At 51.1% G+C, this 21427-nt stretch overlaps 1 protein-coding gene across 1 annotated transcript in view, besides 1 other annotated feature; it reads right to left on the bottom strand.

Moving 5' to 3' along the window:
- Positions 1-20891, bottom strand: part of OPRD1 (opioid receptor delta 1) — a 59098-nt gene extending 38207 nt beyond the window's left edge. The window contains exon 1 of the mRNA NM_000911.4: positions 20451-20891. Coding sequence (NP_000902.3) covers positions 20451-20677 — 227 coding nt within the window. The 5' untranslated portion in view covers positions 20678-20891. The remainder of the gene's footprint in view (positions 1-20450) is intronic.
- Positions 17453-17954: an enhancer, noted in NCBI's record as "H3K4me1 hESC enhancer chr1:29141619-29142120 (GRCh37/hg19 assembly coordinates)". NCBI's record gives its function as "activates a minimal SCP1, AML or CMV promoter by ChIP-STARR-seq in naive H9 embryonic stem cells {active_cell/tissue: H9 hESC(naive)}" and the evidence as "EXISTENCE:reporter gene assay evidence [ECO:0000049][PMID:30033119]".
- Positions 20892-21427: the final 536 nt, after the last annotated feature.

Raw genomic sequence — 21427 nt, 5'->3', positions numbered from 1 at the left:
AGGCTCATTTTTTCCACAGTTGTAATTTCTCGGTTCTTCATGATTTTGAGTCCTCACCATCTGCCAGCTTAATGTTTCAGTCCCACAATTCCACGTAAATAATGTCCACAAGTTTATTATTCTTAGTGACAGTGATGTAGATGTTACAGTTTCCCTAACCTGTACCCACCCAGCTCCCCAGCAAAGAAATACCCTTTGAAGACAATGGGCTAGGGAGCCCCTGTTCAGAGCATCACACATGTTCTCTCATTTGAATCACACACACCCCAGGAAGTGGGTCTCAGTATATTCCCATTTTGTTTATAGAAGAAACTGACCCAAAGATGAAAGGCGCTCATCCAGGAGTGTAGAATGAACAGAACTGAGATGCAAAGCCAGGCATTCCAAAAAGCCCAGGCAGACTCCAGGCCTTTGGCCATGCTGTATGTTACTTTTTTTTTTTTTGAGACAGAGTCTCACTCTACCACCCAGGCTAGAGTGCAGTGGCGCAATCACAGCTCACTGCAGCCGCCAGCTCCCGGGCTCAAACAATTCTCCCACCTCAGCCTCCCAAGAAGTTGGGACTACAGGTGTGTGCCACCATTCCTGGCTAATTTTGTATTTCTTGTAGAAATGGGGTCTCCCTGTGCTGCCCAGGTTGGTCTTGAACTCCTGGGCTCGAGCGATTCTCCCACCTCGGCCTCCCAAAGCAGGCCTCCTACCGACTTGATTACAGGCAGGAGCCACTGAGCTTGGCCTTTACTTCTTATGCCATCTCTCTGCCTGGGACCCAAAAGAGCTTCTCTTTCCTTTTGTTTATTAACAATGGATTATTTTTTAAATTATTTTAATGACATTACAAATAAGTCTGCTCTGTTCCACAGCCTCTCCCAATCCCTGGCTGTATCAAAAAGTCATTTTTCCACAGTGGAAATCAGAGGGTATCATAGGTTCAGCCTTCTTCATGGACATTGCTTCATGGACACTGCTTCATGGACACTTTGTACATCTGAGCTCTGAGAGTCAAGGGGCCTCAGTTCAAAGGCTGGCTCTGCCACTTCCTAACTGTGGCCCTGGGCAAGTGAATTATCATCTCTGAGCCCCAGTTTTCTCATCTGTCAAATGGAGAGAAACATGGTACTAAACTCATAGAGCTGGCTGAATTAAATGAAATAACCTATGTGCAATGCTTCACATAGAGCTTGGCACAAAGCTGGCCACCTTGTCAGCATCCAAAAAAGGTCAGCCAGGCATGGTGGCTCATGCCTGTAATCCCAGTACTTTGGGAGGCCAAGGCAGGAGGATCACTGGAGCCCAGGAGTTCAAGACCAGCCTGGGCAACATAGTGAGACCTCATCTCTACAAATAAAAAAATTAGCCAGGCATGGTGGTGCCTGTGGTCCCAGCTACTCAGGAGGCTAAGGTGGGAGGATCACTTGAGCCTGGGCAGTTGAGCCTGCAGTGAGCCATGATCACTGAAAGAAAGAAAAAAGTCAGCAGTTCTATTTTTGGTGTTAACTCCGACCGAGTCAGTATGCTATGCTTTGCTGTTGAGCTCTTTTTTTTTTTTTTTGAGACGGAGTCTCACTCTGTCGCCCAGGCTGGAGTGCAGTGGCACGATCTCAGCTCACTGCAACCTCCACCTCCCAAGTTCAAGCGATTCTCCTGCCTCAGCCTTCTGAGTAGCTGAAACTACAGGCGCACGCCACCACGCCCGGCTAATTTTTGTATTTTAATAGAGACAGTGTTTCACCATGTTGGCCAGGATGGTCTCCATCTCCTGACCTCGTGATCCACCCACCTCGGCCTACCAAATTGCTGGGCTTACAGGTGTGAGCCACCACACCAGGCCGAGCCCTCTCTTATATGGGACAACAAGGCCTAGGCAGGTGGAAGGAGTGTCTTGTGGCTAACCTGCCCCTCCCAGCAGGACAGCTCCATTCGCTCCCCTCAGGGAGGAATGGAAAATCACTAGATGTGGGGTATTTCCCAGCACTGTGGGAGGATGAGTTTTTGTAACCAAGGGAAACAGATTATCTCCATCTGTCCTGCAGGGGCATCTGGTGGGGACAGCATCTGGTGGGGCCAGGAGAAGCAGCATCTCCGCTCTGGCTTAATTCCTGCCCTGGTTCCCAGGTGCTGGGCAATGATCCAAAAGGCCTCATTATCACCAATGGCTTCTTGCTGTGGGCCAGGCCCTGTGCTAAAGCCATACAGCATCATCCCCCTTAACCTTTGCCCTTGCTGTTCCCTCTGCCTAAAACACTCTTCCTCCAAGCAACAGTCCTCTGCTCATTTGTCTCCTCTTCTTTGACCTCTCCATATACAGGTATGCCTCGTTTAAAGCACTTTGTAGATATTGTGTTTTTTACAAATTGAAGGTTTGTGGCAACCCTGCTATGAGCAAGTTATCAGCACCATTATTCCAACAGCAAGTGCTCACTTTGTATCTATGTCATATTTTGGTAATTCTTGCAATATTTCAAATTTTTCATAATTATATCTCTTATGGTTATCTGTGATTAGTGTTTTTGTTGTTGTTGTTGTTGTTTTATTTTTGACTGGGTCCTCACTCTGTTGCCCAGGCTGGAGTACAGTGGCACTATCACAGCCCACTGCAGCCTCGACCTCCCAGGCTCAAGCAATCCTTCCACCTCAGCCTCCCAAGTAGCTAGGACTACAGGCATGTCCCACCACACCTTGCTATTGTTTTTTTCATTTTGTAGAGATGGAGTCTCATTATGTTGCCAGGGCTGGTCTCGAACTCCTGGGCTCAAGCGATTCTCTCACCTCAGCCTCCCAAAGTGCTGGGATTACAGGCATGACCACCGTGCCTGGCCATCAGTGATCTTGGATGCTACCACTGTAATTGTTTTGGAGTGCCACAAACCACACGCCTGTAAGAGGATGAACTTAATTGATAAATGTGTATGTTCTGACCGCTCCACTGACTGGCCATTGCCCCATCTCTCTCCCTCTCCTCAGGCCTCTCTATTCCCTGAGACACAACAATATTGAAATTAGGCCAATTAATAACTCTACAATGGCCTCTAAGTGTTCAAGTGAAAGAAAGGGCCAGGTGCAGTGGCTCACACCTATAATCACAGCACTTTGGGAGGCTGAGCTGGAAGGATTGCTTGAGCTCAGGAGTTCAAGACCAGCCTGGGAAAAAAGTGAGTCCCCATCTCTACAAAAAATTAAAAAATTAGCTGAGTATGGTGGTGCGCACCTGTAGTTCCAGCTACTTCGGAGGCTGAGGAAAGAGGATCACTTGAACCCAGCCAGTTGAAGCTGCAGTGAGGCATGATTGCATCACTGCACTCCAGCCTGGGCGACAGAGCAAGACCCTGTCTCAGAAGATAAAAAGAAAATGAAAGGGTCGCATGTCTTGCACTGTAGATCAAAATCTAGAAGGCCAGGCACGGTGGCTCACGCCTGTAATCCCAGCACTTTGGGAGGCCGAGGTGGGTGGATCACCTGAGGTCAGGAGTTCGAGACCAGCCTGGCCAACCTGGTGAAACCCCATCTCTACTAAAAATACAAAAAATTAGCTGGTGTGGTGGCGGGCACCTGTAATCCCAGCTACTCAGGAGGCTGAGGCAGGAGAATCACTTGAATCTGGGAGGAGGAGGTTGTAGTGAGCCGAGATCGCGCCATTGCACTCCAGCCTGGGCAACAGAGCAAGACTCTGTCTTAAAAGAAGGAAAGAAAGAAAGGAAACAAAATACACTTAACTGCTGATATGGAGAAGGTTTGAGTGGTCTGGATAGAAGATCAAGCCAGCCACAACATTCCCTTAAGCCAAAGCCTAATCCAGGGTAAGGACCTAATTCTCTTTAATTCTAAGAAGGCTGAAAGAGGTGAGGAAACTGTAGAAGACAAGTTTGAAGGTGGCAGAGGCTGGTCCATGGGGCTTTAAAGATCACTGATGAAGGCAGCTACACTAAACAACAGATTCTCAAGGGGACAAAACAGCCTTCTATTGGAGTAAGATATCATCTAGGACTCTCATTCCTAGAGAGAAGTCAGTGCCTGGTTACAAAGCTTCAAGGAGAGACTGATGCTCCCTCTCTCTCCTTTTTTTTTTTTTTTGAGACAGAGTCTCACTCTGTTACCCAGGGTGGAGTGCAGTGGCGCAATCTCGGCTCACTGCAACCTCCACCTCCTGGGTTCAAGCGATTCTCCTGCCTCAGCCTCCCGAGGAGCTGGGATTACAGGTGCACATCATCACACCCGGCTAATTTTTGTATTTTTAGTAGAGACAGTGTTTCACTATGTTGGTCAGGCTGGTCTCAAACTCCTGACCTCAGGTGATCCACCTGCCTTGGCCTCCCAAAGTGCTGGGATTACAGGCGTGAACCACTGCGCCTGGCTTTTTTTTTTTTTTTTTTTTTAAGAGATCGAGTTTCACTCTGTCACTCAGGCTGGAATGCAGTGGCACGATCATAGCTCAGTGCAGCTTCGAACTTCTGAGCTCAAGCGACTCTCCCTCTTCGGCTTCCAAAGTGCTGGGATTACAGGTATGAGCCACCGCACCCAGCCAGGCTGACTCATTAGGGGCTAATGCAGCTGGTGACTTTAAATTGAAGCCGATGCTCATTTACCATTCCAAAAATCCTAGGGCCCTTAAGAATTATGCTAAATCTACTCTGCCTGTGCTCTATAAATGGTACAACAAAGCCTGGATGACAGCACATCTGTTTACAGCATGGTTGATGGAGTATTTTAAGCCCACTGTTGAGACAAACTGCTCAGAAAAAAAGATTCCTTTCAAAATATTATCGCTTATTGACAATGCACCTAGTCACCCAAGAGCTCTGATGGAGATGTACAAGGAGATTAAGTTGTTTTCATGCTTACTAACACAACATCCATTCTGTAGCCCACGGATCAAGGAATAATTTTAACCTTTAAGTTTTATTATTTAAGAAATACATTTTGTAAGGTTACAGCTGTCATAGATAGTGGTTCCTCTCATGGATCTGGGCAGAGGAAACTGAAAGCTGGAAAAAATTCACCATTCTAGTTGCCATTAGGTACATTTGTGGCCAGGTGTGGTGGCTCACACCTGTAATCCCAGTACTTTGGGAGGCTGAGGTGAGAGGATCCCTTCAGGCCAGGAGCTCGAGACCAGCCTGGGCAACACAGAAACTCCGGCTCTACAAAAAATAAAAATAAAAAATAAATAAATTAGCCAGACATGGTGGCACACACATGTAGTCCCAGCAACTTGGTAGACTGAGGCAAGAGGATAGTTTGAGCCCAGGAGTTTGAGGCTGCAGTGAGCTATGATCACTGCACTCAGCCTGGGCAACAGACTAAGACTGTGTCTCTGAGCAGGGGGAAAAGAAAAAAACAATATTGACAGGAGTTTTAAAGAAGTTGATTCCAGCCCTCATGGATGACTTTGAGGGGTTCGAGGCTTCAGTGGAGGAAGTAACTGCAGATGTAGTAGAAATAGCAAGAGAACTAGAATTAGAAGTGGGGCCTGAAGATGTGACTGAATTGCTGCTGCTGCAATCTCATGAAAAAACTTTAATGGATGAGAAGTTGCTTCTTATAGATGAGCAAGAAAGTGGTTTCTTGAAGCTAGGCGCAATGGCATGCGCCTGTACTACCAGCTACTCAGGAGACTGAGGCAAGAGGATCACTTGGGCCCAGGAGTTTGGGGCTGTAGTGAGCTATGATCGTGCCTGTGAGTAGCCACTGCACTCCAGCCTGGGCAACACAGTGAGACAAAAATCAAAAAGAAAGAAAGTGGTTTCTTTTGGTTTTGTTTTGTTTTTGAGACAGGGTCTTGCTCTGTCACCCAGGCTGGAGTGCAGTGGTGCAATCTCAGCTCACCACAACCTCTGCCTCCCGGACTTCAGCAATCCCCCCACCTCAGCCTCCCTAGTAGCTGGGACTACAGGCGCACACCACCACGCCCAGCTAATTTTTGTATTTTTTTGTAGACACAAGGTTTTGCCATGTTGCCCAGGTTGGTCTTGAACTCCTGACCTCAAGGGATCTGCCCACCTTGGCCTCCCAAAGTGCTGGAATTACAGGCGTAAGCCACCGCTTCTGGCCGAAAGTGGTTTCTTGAGATGGAATTTACTCCTGGTGAAGAAGATCTGTGAACTTTGTTGAAATGACAACAAAGGATTTAGAATATAACATTAATTTAGTTGATAAAGCAGCAATAGGATTTGAGAGGACTGACTCCAATTTTGAAAGTTCTACTGTTGGTAAGATGCTATCAAACAGCATCGCATGCTACAGAGAAATCTTTCATGAAAGAAAGACTCAATTGATGCAGCAAACTTCACTGTTGCCTTGTTTTAAGAAATTGCCACAGCCACCCCAACCTTCGGCAACCACTACCCCCAACCAGCAGCCATCAATATTGAGGTAAGACCTTTCACCAGCAAAAAGATTATGATTTGCTGAAGGCTCAGATGATCATTAGTATTTTGTTAGCAATAAAAGTATTTTAAAATTGAAGTATGTATATTTTTCTTTAGACATAATACTATGACACACTTAATAGACTACAGTATAAACAACTTTTTTTTTTATTTTTTTTTGAGACAGGGTCTGGCTCTCTCACCCAGGCTGCACTGCAGTGGCGTGATCTCGGTTCACTGCAGGCTTGACCTCCTGGGCTCCACCCATCTCAACCTCCCGAGTAGCTGGGACTACAGGTGCATGTCACCACACCCGGCTAATTTTTGTATTTTTTTGTAGAGACAGGGTTCTGCCATGTTGCCCAGGCTGGGCTCTAACTCCTGAGCTCAAGCAATCTGCCCACCTCAGCCTCCCAAAGTGCTGGGATTACAAGCATGAGTCAGCACACCCAGCTGTAAACAACTTTTATATGCACTGGGAAACCAAAAAATGTGTGTGACTTGCTTTGAGATATTTGCTTTATTGCAGTGGTCTGGAACCCAAACCACAGTATCTCTGAGGTATGCCTGTACAACTGCAGCCCCGCCACCCTCTCACCCAATGCCTGTTTCGGTTGACTTCACTGCCTATAGCCTTAGCCTTATATCTATTTGTTTACTGTCCATCTTTTCCCCACTAGACTGTCAGCTCCATGAGGGCAAGGACTGTGTCTTCATCACTGTTGCATCCCAAGTACCTAGAACTGTGCCTGGTACTTCAGGGGGGACAACCCAATGATGTAGAGTTTTTCTATCATCCCCATTTCACAGATGAGAAAACAGACAGCACGCTGAGTTCAACAGTGGACAGCCAGCAAGAAGCTGGATTTGAACCCTAGTCCACCTGCTGATGAAGGACAGGGCTGCCTCCCTGCTGTTGGCCTTGTCCCAGGGAACCTGGAGTTCTTTAGGCCTATCATGTGTTATCAGTAGCCCCTAGGCCAGGCTGCCCTGTGTAAGAACCCACTTCTTGGGCTGGGCGCTGTGGCTCACGCCTGTAATCCTGGCACCTTGGGAGGCTGAGGCAGGCGGATCACAAGGTCAGGAGTTCAAGACCAGCCTGACCAACATGATGAAACCCTGTCTCTACTGAAAACACAAAAATTAGCCGGATGTGGTGGCGTGCGCCTGTAATCCAAGCTACTCAGGAGGCTGAGGCAGGAGAATCGCTTGAACCCGGGAGGTGGAGGTTGCAGTGAGCCGAGATCGTGCCACTGTATTCCAGCCTGGGCAACAGAGTGAGACTCTGTCTCAAAAAAAAGAACCTACTTCTTGTGTTCCCAAGTACTGCTATTTCCAGCCACTCCCTGCCTCTCTCTCACTTTGGAAAATCCCAATTGTGCAAAGAGACACAAGGAGAGGGAGCAAGGGGATAGGAAAAGCAGTTCTAGTCCAGCCTTGGCCATGGACTCAAAAGACACAGAACCTTTCTAGGTCTCGGTTTCCTCATTTGTAAATCAGAGGGGCTGAACTTGACATACAAGGTGGCAGAGAACAAGGCAATGGTTAAGAGTGTGGGCTCTGGCCAGGTGCAGTGGTTCACACCTGTACTCCCAGCACTTTGGGAGGCTGAGGCAGGTGGATCACAAGGTCAGGAGATCGAGATCATCCTGGCTAACACGGTGAAACCCCATCTCCACAAAAAATACAAAAAAAAATTAGCCGGGCGCGGTGGTGGGCACCTGTAGTCCCAGCTACTCGGGAGGCTGAGGCAGGAGAATGGCGTGAACCTGGGAGGCAGAGCTTGCAGTGAGCCGAGATCGCGCCACTGCACTCCAGCATGGGCAACAGAGCGAGACTCCGTCTCAAAAAAAAAGAGTGTGGGCTCTGGGTTCAGAACAACACTCTTCTGATTTCAAAATTATCTTGGGACTTTGGGCATGTTATGTCGTTTCTCTGAGCCTCAAGTTTCCTTATGTATACAATGGGGGCAACACACTCACCTCCTACGAGGTCTGCAAAAATTAAATGGGATAATATATATACATCTCTAGGCAGGGTGCCTGGCACAAAATAGGTACTCAAGAAAAAGAACCATCAGCCAGGCACAGTGGCTCACGCCTGTAATCCCAGCACTTTGGGAGGCCGAGGCGGGCGGATCACAAGGTCAGGAGATCAAGACCATCCTGGCTAACACGGTGAAACCCTGTCTGTACTAAAAATACAAAAAAAAAAATTAGCCGGGTGTGGTGGCGGGCGCCTGTAGTCCCAGCTACTCGGGAAGCCGAGGCAGGAGAATGCCGTGAACCCAGGAGGTGGAGCTGCAGTGAGCTGAGATGGCGCCACTGCACTCCAACCTGGGCAACAGAGCCAGACGCCATCTCAAAAAAAAAAAAAAAAAAAGAAAAAAGAAAAAGAACCATCATCCATGAGTCACAGTTCTATGCCTTGGTAACAAGCTCATTTCTGCAGGGGAGGAAAATTCTGCCTCTCTCTGTGTGGTGTTCTTTGAATGGGGCTTTTTTTTTTTTTTTTTTGGAGATAGGTTCTCACTCTGTCACCCAGACTGGAGTGCAGTGATGCGATCTCGGCTCACTGCAACCTCCGCCTCCCAGGCTCAAGCGATTCTCCTGCCTCAGCCTCCCGAGTGGCTAGGATTACAGGCATGCACCACTACCGCCCGGCTAACTTTTTTATTTTTAGTAGAGAAAAAGTTTCACCATGTTGGCCAGGCTGGTCTCAAACTCCTGACCTCAAATGATCCACCCACCTCAGCCTCCCAAAGTGCTGCGATTACAGGTGTTAGCCACCGCACCCGGCCTGAATGGGGTTTTTTTGACCTCACAGGACCTTGAAGTTTGAGTTCTTTCTACTTATCAAGAAAGACGGGCTGGGCACGGTGGCTCACACCTGTAATGCCAACACTTTGGGAGGCCGGGTGGGTGGATCACCTGAAGTCAGGAGTTCGAGTCCAGCCTGGCCAACATAGTGAAACCTCATCTCTACTAAAAAATACAAAAATTGGCCAGGCACAGTGGCTCACGCCTGTAATCCCAGCACTTTGGGAGACCAAGGCAGGCGGATCACAAGGTCTGGAGCTCGAGACCAGCCCGGCCAACATGGTGAAACCCCGTCTCTACAAAAAATACAAAAATTAGCCAGGCATGGTGTGCGTACCTGTAATCCCAGCTACTCAGGAGGCTGAGGCAGGGGAATTGCTTGAACCCAGGAGGCGGAGGTTGCAGTGAGCCGAGATCATGCCATTGCACTCCAGCCTGGGTGACAGAGCAAGACTCCGTCTCAAATAAATAAATAAATAAATAAATAAACAAACAAATAAAATTTAAAAAAGAATAGCCGGGTGTAGTGGTGCACATCTGTAATCCCAGCTACTTGGGAGGCTGAGGCATGAGAATCACTTGAACCCAGGAGGTGGAAGGTGCAGTGAGCCGAGATCGCACCATTGCACTCCAGCCTGGGTGATAAAGTGAGGCTCCATGTCAAAAAAAAAAAAAAAAAAAAAAAAGACTACAGAAGAAAAGATTCTTTCTGCACACACCCTTCCTGGCCAGAGACAAAGCTGCTGATTTCTGCAGCTGCACTGGGAACTATAAATCAGTAGAACACAACCCAGACACCCCCTCATTCCACCCCACAGCTCCCAGCCGGTAATGGGGCCACTATAGCCTGCAGAGGATGGTAAATTGTTCATTTAAGCCAGACTTTCTGCTCTACCCCCACGATTATCCCTCTTCCTGTGCATGTTATGACATTCCGTGTGGCCAATTTGATTTTGAGGTCCCAGGACTCTGAGGTTAATGAAATCATGCCTTTTCCTTGCACAGCCCCCTGCCTCTCAAAGTCCAGACATCTGCCAGGCAAGGGGGAAGGAGAACCTGAGATCACAGCATTTAAAAATCATTCTTTTTAAAATCTCAGGGTTGGGTGCCTGTAATCCCAGTACTTTGGGAGGCTGAGGCAGGTGGATCATTTGAGGTCAGGAGTGCGAGACCAACCTGGCCAACATGGTGAAACCCCGTTTCTATTAAAAATACAAAAAAAAAAAAATTAACCGGGCATGGTGGCACATGCCAGTAATCCCAGCTACTTGGGAGGCTGAGGCAGGAGAATTGCTTGAACCCAGGGGAGCAGAGGTTGCAGTGAGCCGAGATTGCGCCACTGCACTCCAACCTGTGCAACAGAATGAGACTCCGTCTAAAATCAATCAGTCAATCAATCAATCAATCGATAAACAAACAATAAAATAAAATCTCAGCCATGGTGAGAGGGGCCTGCAATTCTGCTTGTCTTTTCTCCACCCGAATCTCCAGGGCCAAACCTCCACCCAGTGGTTTCCCAGTGTCTACTTGCGCACTTCAGTGACAGGAAGCTCCCTACATTACACAGCAGCCCGTACCTTCTTGGAGAGCTTTGACTGTGGGAAAATTCCTTATAGAAATAATGAAATAGCAGGGCGCGGTGGCTCACACCTGTAATCCCAACACTTTGGGAGGACGAGTCGGGCGGATCACGAGGTCAGGAGGTAGAGACCAGCATGACCAACATGGAGAAACCCCATCTCTACTAAAAATACAAAGTTAGCCGGGCATGGTGGCGCATGCCCGTAATCCCAGCTACTCGGGAGGCTGAGGCAGGAGAATCGCTTGAACCCAGGAGGCGGAGGTTGTGGTGAGCCGAGATTGCGCCATTGCACTCCAGCCTGGGCAACAAGAGCAAAACTCCATCTCAAAAAAAAAAAAGAAAGAAATAATGAGATGTGCGCAAACACACATGTCTAAGAATGTTCACAGCATTATGTATGATTACTATTTTTTTGTTTTTAGAGACAGGGTCTTGCTATGTTGCCTGTGCTGATCTTGAATTCCTGGGCTCAAGTGATCCTCCCACCATGGCCTCCCAAAGTGCTGGAATTATGGGGGTGAGCCACCATGCCCGGGCAGCAGCAGCATTATTTAGATTGGCATAATATTGGAAATTATAAAAGTCACTGGAAAAAGAACACATTCATGCAATGTAGCCATCAAAAATCATGTTTTCAAACTAGAAGAGCACATGCTTAACATATAATGTTAAGTGAATAGGCATCTCACAAAATATTACATGCAATGCGATCATGACTTCGACATGTGACCCTGATTTCACTAAAATGGAAAAACAAAGCTGGGTGTGTCGGCTCATGACTGTAATCCCAGCACTTTCGGAGGCCAAGGTGGGAGGATCACTTGAGTCCAGGAGTTCAAGACCAGCTTGGGCAACATAAGGAGATCCCCATCTCAAAAATAAAAATAAGCTGGGCACGGTGGCTCATGCCTGTAATCCCAGAACTTTGGGAGGCCAAGGCAGGTGGATCACCTGAGGTCAAGAGAAGAGTTCAAGACCAGCCTGGCCAAGATGGTGACACCCCATCTCTACTAAAAATACAAAAATTAGCCGGGCATGGTGGCAGGTACCTGTAATCCCAGCTACTTGGGAGGCTGAGGGAGGAGAACTGCTTGAACCCGGGAGGCAGAGGTTGCAGTGAGCCGAGATTGTGCCATTGTGCTCCAGCCTGGATGACAAGAGCAAGACTCTGTCTCAAAAAAAATGAATAAATAAAAATAAATAAAATTGAGAAACAGAAAGAGAGACAGAAAAGAGATGGGAAGGAAACACACCAAAATGAAAAAGCTCTTTTCTCTGTGGTAGGATTATGGATAATGTCTGTCTCTGCTTAAATTTCTCCACATTTTCTGAAATAAGTTTGTTACCTTTTATTGTAGAAGAAAAAAAAATTTTTTTTTAAATATGGGGTCTCAGGCCAGATGCGGTGGCTCACACCTGTAATCCCAGCACTTTGGGAGGCCAGAGGCGGGCAGATCACCTGGGGTCAGGAGTTTGAGATATGGGATCTCGCTTTGTTGCCCAGGCTGGACTGCAGTGGTACAATCATAGCTCACTGTCACCTTGAGTTTCTGGGTTCAAGCCATCCTTCCACCCAAGCAGCTGGGACTACAGGTGCATGCCACCATGCTCAGCTAACTTTTTAATTTTTTTGTAGAGACAGGGTCTTGCCATATTGTTCGGGCTGGTCTCGAACTCCTGGACTCCAGTGATCCTCCTGCTTTGCCTCCCGAAGTGTTAGGATTACAGGCGTGAGTCACTGCACCCAGCTGAAAATTTATAATATTGAGTTGATAAAGTTTCCCTATACCACCCACTCAATAATTCTAGTTCCAGTTCACACCTGTAATCCCAGCACTTTGGGAGGCTGAGGCAGGTGGATCACTTGAGGCCAGGAGTTGGAGACCAGCCTGGCCATCATGGTGAAACCCCATCTCTACTAAAAATACAAAAATTAGCCTAGTATGTTGGCACACACCTGTAATCCCAGCTACTCAGGAGGTTGAGGCAAGAGAATTGCTTGAACCCAGAAGGCAGAGGTTGCAGTGAGCCAAGATTGCGTCACTGCACTCCAGCCTGGGCAACAGAGCGAGACTATCTCAAAAAAAAAAAAAAAAAAAAATCTAGTTCCTCTGAGGCTCGATAAATGTCAATCAAATGAATGCAAAGCAAGTGTGACTCCTCTTCTAAATAGTCATAATTACAGAAGATGTTTATTGACCACATACCAAATGCCTAGCTCTGTGCTGAAGTCCCTCATATCAGGCCTCGTGAACTCCTCATAACCACTCTGTGAGGGTCTATCACTACTCCCGTTTCACAGATGATAAAGCTGAGGCTCAGAGAGGGTGTGTATGTATTGTTCAAGCTCACTCTCTTAGTAAATGGCACCGCTGGGATGTAATTCCAGGTCAGTCTGGCTCCAATGCCCAGGCTCTCAACTGCTGCCACCCCATGCAGAGGCCTCAGAGATTTGCAGACAGCAATCTACCCTCTACCCCATCCCCATTCCTCGCTTCTCTACCTAGACGTCCCCAGCACTCGCCTCCATTCCGCCATGTCATGGACAGCAGCAGCAGATGGAAACATGGAGTGATTTTGGAGTCAGAGAGGCCTGGGTTGGAATCTCGACTCCACCCCTCTCTTGCTGTGAGAGGCACTCGCTCCCTCTGAGCCTTCTTGTCCCCATTTGCAAATGAGAACAGAAAGCCCCCATCACAGGGCTGTGGTGCAGCTTGCATACTTCAACCTCAATATGGCCTCTGGATCCAGAAGCCTCTGGCATGTGGCAGAAGCTTAGGAAGAGGCTTTTCAGTGTTCTCAGTGACTCCTATGGACCCACCGCAGTGCGTCTGTAAGTCACACACACTCCCCAGGGAATGAACCCAAGACCCAGGAAGAAGCAGGCTCCAGGCAAGACCAAGAGATGCAGCAGGAACAGCAGCCAGGGCTGCTGCTTGTTCTCTCTGCTCAGCCTCACCAGAAGTCATCTAGCCCAGCCTCCTCCTGCTGCCTCCTTCCTTTTTTTTTTGAAATGGGGTCTTGCTATGTTGTCCAGTCTGATCAACATCTTAGCCTCTTGAATAGCTGAGATTACAGGCATGCACCACCATGCACAGCTTCCTGCCTTCTTGTTAGGTCCAACAGCACTCCATTTCAGAAAGGGGACAGCTGAGCACAGGGTTTTAATGGCCCCATCCAAGGTCACATGGCTCTCTTTTCATTGCCCTGAGCCACCCTCTCTAGTCTCCCCACATTGAGCCCCTCCCCATCCAATCCACCCCTCACCCCCACACCAAATTCATTCTCTTGAAGACCATTCTGCACAGATTGCTCCAAAATCCCCCTCCCCATGGCCTGTGACCCAAAGCTTCCTCATTTCCCAGCACGCCAACCTTACCATGGGACCCCTGAGGACCTGTCCAGCCTCAGCTCCCACATCCAGACTAGAACCTCAGCACGGCCTCTGGCTCCTCACACAGTCATGCTGGGCCTGCCTCCAGGCCTCTCCTCAGCCCTCCCTCTCACCATCCCCATGAGAACACCTGCCTCCAATTACCTGGGGCTACTCTACCAGGTGTATCTCCTCAGGAATCATGGGTGGCTCCCGAGCCCAGCCAAGCTCAGCACCTAGCAGGTGCTTTTGACACTATGGTAAGAAGGACACCTGCTTACGACGCCTTTCCTGCTTTTGTCCCTGCAGCCTCTCCATCCTCACAGCCACCCTGGTCCCCAACACTCTCGTCTCAGCCTCGGTGAATTGGTGAATCATTGCTCCTGTGGTTCCCTCTATCTGGAATGCTCCACTCACACCTCTCCAGGGAGCCAACTGCTGCTCCCCTCCATGATGCACAGGCATCCCCTCCTCTGGCTGGGTCTGGAGACTCCCTGGACTCCCATAGTTCCAGGGAGCTGCACTTGTCTGTGGAGTTGCAACTAACCAGGGGGTGGCATGGGACATAGCTGTGTTAGGAGCCAGGGGGCGTATGGAGGTTTAAGCTGTGGGTCTGGGCAGTGAGAGCTGAGGCTGGACAGGCCTGGCATGGGTCAGCATCAGCAAATGCTTTACTGACTGAGTACACGTGCAGGCAATGCAGGACATGGGAAAGGGCCAAAGGTGGAAAACATAGACGACCAGGCCTCAACAGCCCACCTGCACTCTGCCCACCTGCAGCCACTGCAGGAAACCACAGCGCAGGGCATGCCAGGTGCTATGCTACAGCCTTTCCATGCTCGATCTCTTTGAGTCCTCCCAATAACCTGTCATATCGCCCCAATTTTTTAAATGATAAAATGAGCCAGGCGCAGCGGCTCACGCCTATAATCCCAGCACTTTGGGAGGCCAAGGCTGGCGGATCACTTGAGGTCAGGAGTTCGAGACCAGCCTGGCCAACATGGTGAAACCCCCCCCCCGCCCCGCCCATCTCTACTAAAAACACAAAAACTAGTTGGGCGTGGTGGCGAGCGCCTGTAATCCTAGCTACTGGGGAGGCTGAGGCACGAGAATCCCTTGAACCAGGGAGGCAGAGGTTGCAGTGAGCCGAGATCACACCACTGCACTCCAGCCTGGGCAACACAGTGAGACTCCATCCAAAAAAAAAGGGAAGTTAAGCTGTTTTTGCCCAAAGCCACACCTCTGGGACATGGATAGAGACCAGGCGCTCCCTGACCTCTAGTCACAACCTTTACCACTGCACTGTGTCATCTCACTGGAATCTCTCCTGGCCCAGAGGCCCTGGGTCCAGACCCCAAGAGAGGGGAGGGAGACAAGAAGCCAAGGGGCTTCCAAAAACAGGACACAGATTCAGTGCTACAAATTCTGCTAAGAAGACACTTCAGCATTTTCCCCAGCAGCTTCTGGAACCTCGGCAGGAGACTGAAGAAATAACCAGAACCCTTCATTCACCTATCCCGACCCTGCCACAGCCCACCTGCCTGGCCCAACTCCCCTCCCTGCTGGGTGCTGCAGTCACCTCAGATAGGAGGGAAAACGCGGTGCTTTGCCAACATCATCTCATCTAATCCTGAGGACAAAGGTACCTATGAGATAGTACTATTACCCACATCTTCCCGATGAAGACAGGTGCAGTGAGGCGATCCGGCTTGCTAAAGCTCTTAGTAAGTAGCAGAGCCAGCATTTGATACAAGGAGACAAATCAGAAGAGACATGGGCTGAGGTGAGATCAAGGGGCAGAGAAGCACACAGGCTGAAGGCGTCTCATGGAGGCTGGCCGGGGCTGGCAGGAGGCAGGGCATGCTGCGAGGGTACAAACCTGCTGAAACCTAGCTCGGGGCGCAGAGGAGGCAGGGAAACAGAGAAGGCTGTGGAACAGACAGGAGGCCAGGTAGGAAAGCACTGACTCCTCTTGCCCAGGTTCTGGGTCGGGCCACCCAGGATCTGGGCCAGGCGGGAGGAAGAGGGGGTCACCTGCCACAGGTGAGGGGCCTGCTAAGCCCATCACACCACACCTACCCAGTGGGCTGCCCATGGGAAGTCTCTGAGATGCCAGCCCTGCAGAGGACACTGACTCTGCCCGGAGGAAGGGGTTGTCCGGTGTCTGCTCTGAGGACCAGGGCATCCCCATGGCCAGCACGAGTCATCGTGCTGGCCAATCCCACATGCAGGAGGAGGGGGTGATGCTCTGCCTTGGGACCACCTGTCCACAGAAGTCCTGCTCACGCTTCATGGAAGCCTCATTCCCTCCAGCCACAGGCTGTTTGCTAAAAGCACAATTCCCAGAGGCCCCTCTCAGGCCCCCAGGATGAGACAGCTTCTCAGGTAGCTTCTTGGAGGGGAGAGAGGACAGAGTGTGGGGCCTGCAGGATGGAGGATGCTTCTGACCTGGAATTCTGAGATTCCTGGTTCTTACGTTCAGGCCCTCATCAGCATCCTGCTTCCCAGCCACAGCTCCTCCCTCAGCTTTTGACTCAGTTTCCCCTCCTCGTCCTTTAGCTCTGCAGAGGCTTCTCTGATCTCTCCGCCCAGCTGAGACCCTCCCCTGCCCCCATCATGGGCTCCCAAATCCCCCACATACTTTCACAGATAGCCCCTACCACAGCTACAAACTTCAGTTTATTGGATGACTGGCTGACGAATGTCTGTCTCCCACCAGACCCTAAGCTCCGGAAGGTCTGGAGCACGGTGTGGTTTTTTTCTTGGCATTTAGCACAGAGCATGTAGAATGTTGTAGAATGAGTTAATTCTTTTCAGTCCTTCACACAGAGCCCCTCATGTTCTCAAAGAGCTTAGGGTCTAAAAGGCTCAGATATCACACATTATGCCACTTAATCCTCACCCCCACCCTGGAGGCGCTGTTGGTGTTCCCACTTTAATGAGAAGAGCTTCAGACAGCTCGTCACTAGCCCGAGTACACAGCAAGTAAGTGGCTTTGAACTCAGATATGTCTGGTCCAGAGCCACAGCTCTGCCCACTACACCACCCGGCTTTCCTTCCCCAAGGGTCTCTGAATCTTCCCTTGCACACCTGCTCCCCACCCCCCACATGCTGCCTAAGCTCAGGACTGACAGGCAGAATTCACTCATTCAACCACTCATTCACTCAACCCAGCAGCCGGCTCATGTACTGGTTGTGGCAGGCCCTGCTTGGGCTGCCAGGAAACCGCAGATGGAGCGCAGCTCGAGGAGCCCTTCAGGGGAGCAGGGTCCCTTCTCCAGCCCGGGCTGCGCTCTCCCCACTGCCCTTGGGGTGTTTCCAGCAGAAGCCAAGACCCAGGCAGCTGCCCTGCCCTCAGACTCTCGTTCACTGTTCACTGGGGAAGGACTGAGCGCCAGCCCTTATCATTCAGCCTCCCCAAAGGACAGCAGCCTAAAATGCACAGGCTGAAAAACGCAGAGGAGCATAGTCCCCAGGTCTCTGCTCTCTGAGGACTCTAAGACAAGAGGAGGGACACAGCCGGGCACCATGGCTCCGCCCGTAATCCCAGCACTTTGGGAGGCCGAGGCGGGTGGACTGCTTGAGCTCAGAAGTTTGACACCAGCCTAGGCAACATGGCAAAACCCTGTCTCTGCAAAAAAAACTAAAGTTAGCATGGCGTGTGCCTGTAGTCCCAGCTACCCAGGAGCCTGAGGTGGGAGGATCGCATTAAGCCCAGGAGGTCGAGGTTGCAGTGAGCTGTGATTGCGACGCTCCAGCCTGGGCAACAGAGAGAAATCTTGTCTCAAAAATAAAAGAGGAGGGACAGAATTCTGCCACCCTCCTTCCAGACAATGCTTTGACTGTCCTCTACCCCAGGCAACTCTGGAGAAAAGTTTTGGACTTAAGTCACAGACTAAGGTTCTAGCTCTGGGCCTGGTGCCAACTGTGGTACCCTCCGAGAACAAGTCACCTTGCCTGTCTCTGAGCTGCAGATTCCTCATTTTATCTGCAGGATGCGGGTACTGATGATGATTCTAATGCCTGTCCCATAGGATTGAAGGTGAGGATTCAATCATTCAGACCCAGAGATACAATTTTCACATAAATGGTTGACCAGCGAAATGTCTTGGCAACATGGGGACCCCTAGGGGCCCACTAAGCTGCTTGCGTACACTTGGCAATGCGATTCCGGGAAGGCTGTGTGGGAATGCCCCTAGCAGGCTGAGCCCAGAGCCTCCCCACAGTGGACCCTCAGCAGTGGGAGTCCCCTCCCCTTGCTCAGTGGTAGTGGGGAAGCTGTGCTCAGTCAGCCAACCAGCCAGAGGCCCCGGGGAAAAGGTTGGAAATGAGACTGAACACACCGACGCTCGGCTTTTTCCAGACTTGGGCACCTGGAGCTCCCCTAGACAGGGCAGGTGCCAGGAATCCGGAGCTCTCAGAATCACAGCTACTCTCAGGCCCACCTTAGGACAAGCACCTCCCTCAAGCTCCCTTCTTTAGTCAGATTCTACAGGATCTAGAAAATCCCTCCGCCTCGCTATACAGACAGCGTCCATTTACTGGGTCCAGGCGCCAGGCCAGTGCGTTATGTGCTCTCTCACTGACACCTCACAACAACCCTGTGGAAGAAGATTTATCATTACGTCATTCTACAGATGAAGAAACTGAGGCTCAAAGAGGCTAAGTGATTCATCCAAGTCACAGAGCCAGTTCGTGGCAGAGCAGGGATTCATACCAGGCCGGCCTGCCTCGAAGCCTGCGAAGTGGGGAGAATCACTGACAAAGACACAAAGTAAAGATCAGTCCCGCCTGTGCTTGGGGGGAATTCTCCCACTGTTGCTTGTGATGAGTCATGGAAAGCACAGGAAATTCTTGTACCCGCCACTCTTTCTGGAGGAGCAAAGATCTCCCAGAGATCATCAATGCCGAAGCCCACTGACACCCACACACCTCATCCCATGCTCCAACACACCACGTTCTGCGCTGCAGAGACCCCATACCCTGGAATTCATACTTTCCAATTGAGGAGATTAGGTCTGTATTCTTCGAACAGGGAAACTGAGGCGGATGGGAGGCAGGGCAGGAAGAATGATGCCTGGGCATCCATGACTAGGCTGAGACTACAGTTCATCTCTCTAACCTCTGAGTCCACGACCTGACCTATGCCCTGCATGGTGGCACCCACAGCCCAGAGAGGTTTAGGGCCATGTCCTTGGTCCACCAGCATGAAGGACCCATTTTCAACTAACAGCAAATACGAGGGCATCTTTGTTGTTTTAAAGATGGAAATTTTCCTCTCAACCCTTACTGGCCATGTCTGAGCTTGTGGGGCTGTATCAGGAGGGCTACTTCTGGGGCAAGCTGACGTCTTAGGCTCTCTGAGAAGGTCCCAGCACTCTCCATAAACTCCAAGAAGAGCACCTCACTTCCTGGGATGAAAACTCAAAATCCACTCCCGCCCAGACCAACCTCTGCTGCCTCTGGCAGAAGAAAAGACTGTTAGAGGAGGCAAAGAGAAAATGGGAGAGGGCATTTGTGAGGAGGGCGTGAGTCTTCTCTGAATCCTATTCAGAATTCCTGACCAGATGGGCACTGGCGAAGGGAACAGAGAACCGGTTGGCGGCCCACAGCTGTCGCCCATGTTATCCAGGAATCACTGGCAAAGGCACACACAGCTGCACAAACACAGGGACGACGGCCACTCCGGATGCTCTGCCGCCCTCGGGGTTTCAAGAGCTTGACAAGAAACAACAGTCACATTGTTACATTCAGACAGAATCACAAACTGACCGTTAGGGACAAGCTCACACCAACAGATGAGCACCAAATATGACTTGGTAAGGGCCCCACGGCGAGGTGCTGACACCCAGCACCCTCCTGTCCGCCCTGCCTGCACGGTGCCCTCACACCGGTCTCCCCAAAGGCCCGCGGCACCTCAGAGCAGCTCTGCCCACCCCATGGGCATGTTTCCGACGTCCAAACATACAGTTGTACTGTCACAACCATCCACTCACAAACTGTGACAGACACACAAACTGACGCCAAACTGTCCCACAAAGAAGCAAGGGGATGCCAACAGATGATCAAATGTAATTTAGTCAACCGCGGCGCACTCCCCCCCCCGCACCACACACACACATACACACGATGACACACATTCCTGTGTTCCCCTCGATGTAAGTGGCCTCGCCTCTCGCTGGGCCCCAGGTGCCCCTGCAGGAAATGCGGAGGCGCGGGGAGTCCAGGGAACGGGCTTGGGGTCTCAAGTTCGTGATCCCCACCCTCACCCCGGGCTCCAGCCCTGCGGCGCCGGCCCGCAGCGGACTCACCGGACGATGCCGAACATGACAAGCACGTTGCCCAGCAGCCCCACGGCGCACACGGCCGAGTAGAGCGCGGTGATGGCGATTGCCAGGGCGAGGGACGAGGCGCTCCGCGCGCCTGGCGGCCCCGACGCATTGGCGCCAGCGCTGGGGCAGGCGCTAGGGTAGGCGTCCGAGGCGTTGGCGAAGAGCGGGGGCTGCAGCTCGGCGCCGGCGGAGGGGGCCGGTTCCATGGCTGCCGGCCGGCTCCGCCGCGTCCCTCTCCACCGTGCGCCCTGGGCGCGGGGATCCGACGCGAGGGGAGCGGCAAGGCAGAGGCCGCGGCCCCGACGCCGCCGGCTGCCGCGCCCCGGCCGCCCCGCTGTCTCTGCGCCTCGTCCGCCTGCCTCGCCGCCCGCACCGGCCCAGCCCCCGGCGTCCGCCCGCTCTCCTCGCCCGGAGCGCTGTGAGCCAGGAGCAGCCGCAGGCTCCTCGGACGCGCCCGCCGCGCGCACCACGTGGCCCGGAGGCGGCCGCCAGTCTGCGCCCGCGACCGGGGGCGGACGCTGCACCACCGGCTCGGAGCTGGGCAGGGGAGGCCTCCCGCCCCCTCCCTAGGGATGCTCCGCCGGCTCGAGTGCGACCCCGTCCCAACCTGGACTCCCCTCCCACCCCCTTGCCACTTTGGTGTCAGAGGGACCTGGGTGTGGATCCCGCCTCCCGCCCCTGCACTAACAGGCGGAGTGACCTTGTGTAAGTCACTTAACCTCCCTCAGCTTCATTCTCTTTGTCTGTGAGATGAGGAAAATCGTACCACCTCCCTCAGAGGGTGGTTGGGGAGATTGAATAAAATGATTCGAACAAAGAGCTTAGAGCAGTGCCCTGCGGACAGTTACATGCTCCGTAAATAACCTATATTATCCGTGCCTTTCTTGCACCCCATTCATTCGCTCAACAAAAATTCTGAGGGTGCCTAATAGAAGAGCCGGGTATTTGGGGGGACC

The sequence above is a fragment of the Homo sapiens genome, chromosome 1 (assembly GCF_000001405.40).
Source record: "Homo sapiens chromosome 1, GRCh38.p14 Primary Assembly".
NCBI classification, from domain to species: Eukaryota; Metazoa; Chordata; class Mammalia; order Primates; family Hominidae; genus Homo; species Homo sapiens.
Note: the sequence above shows the minus strand (reverse complement) of the source record. Positions and strands in the feature narration are given on the sequence as shown.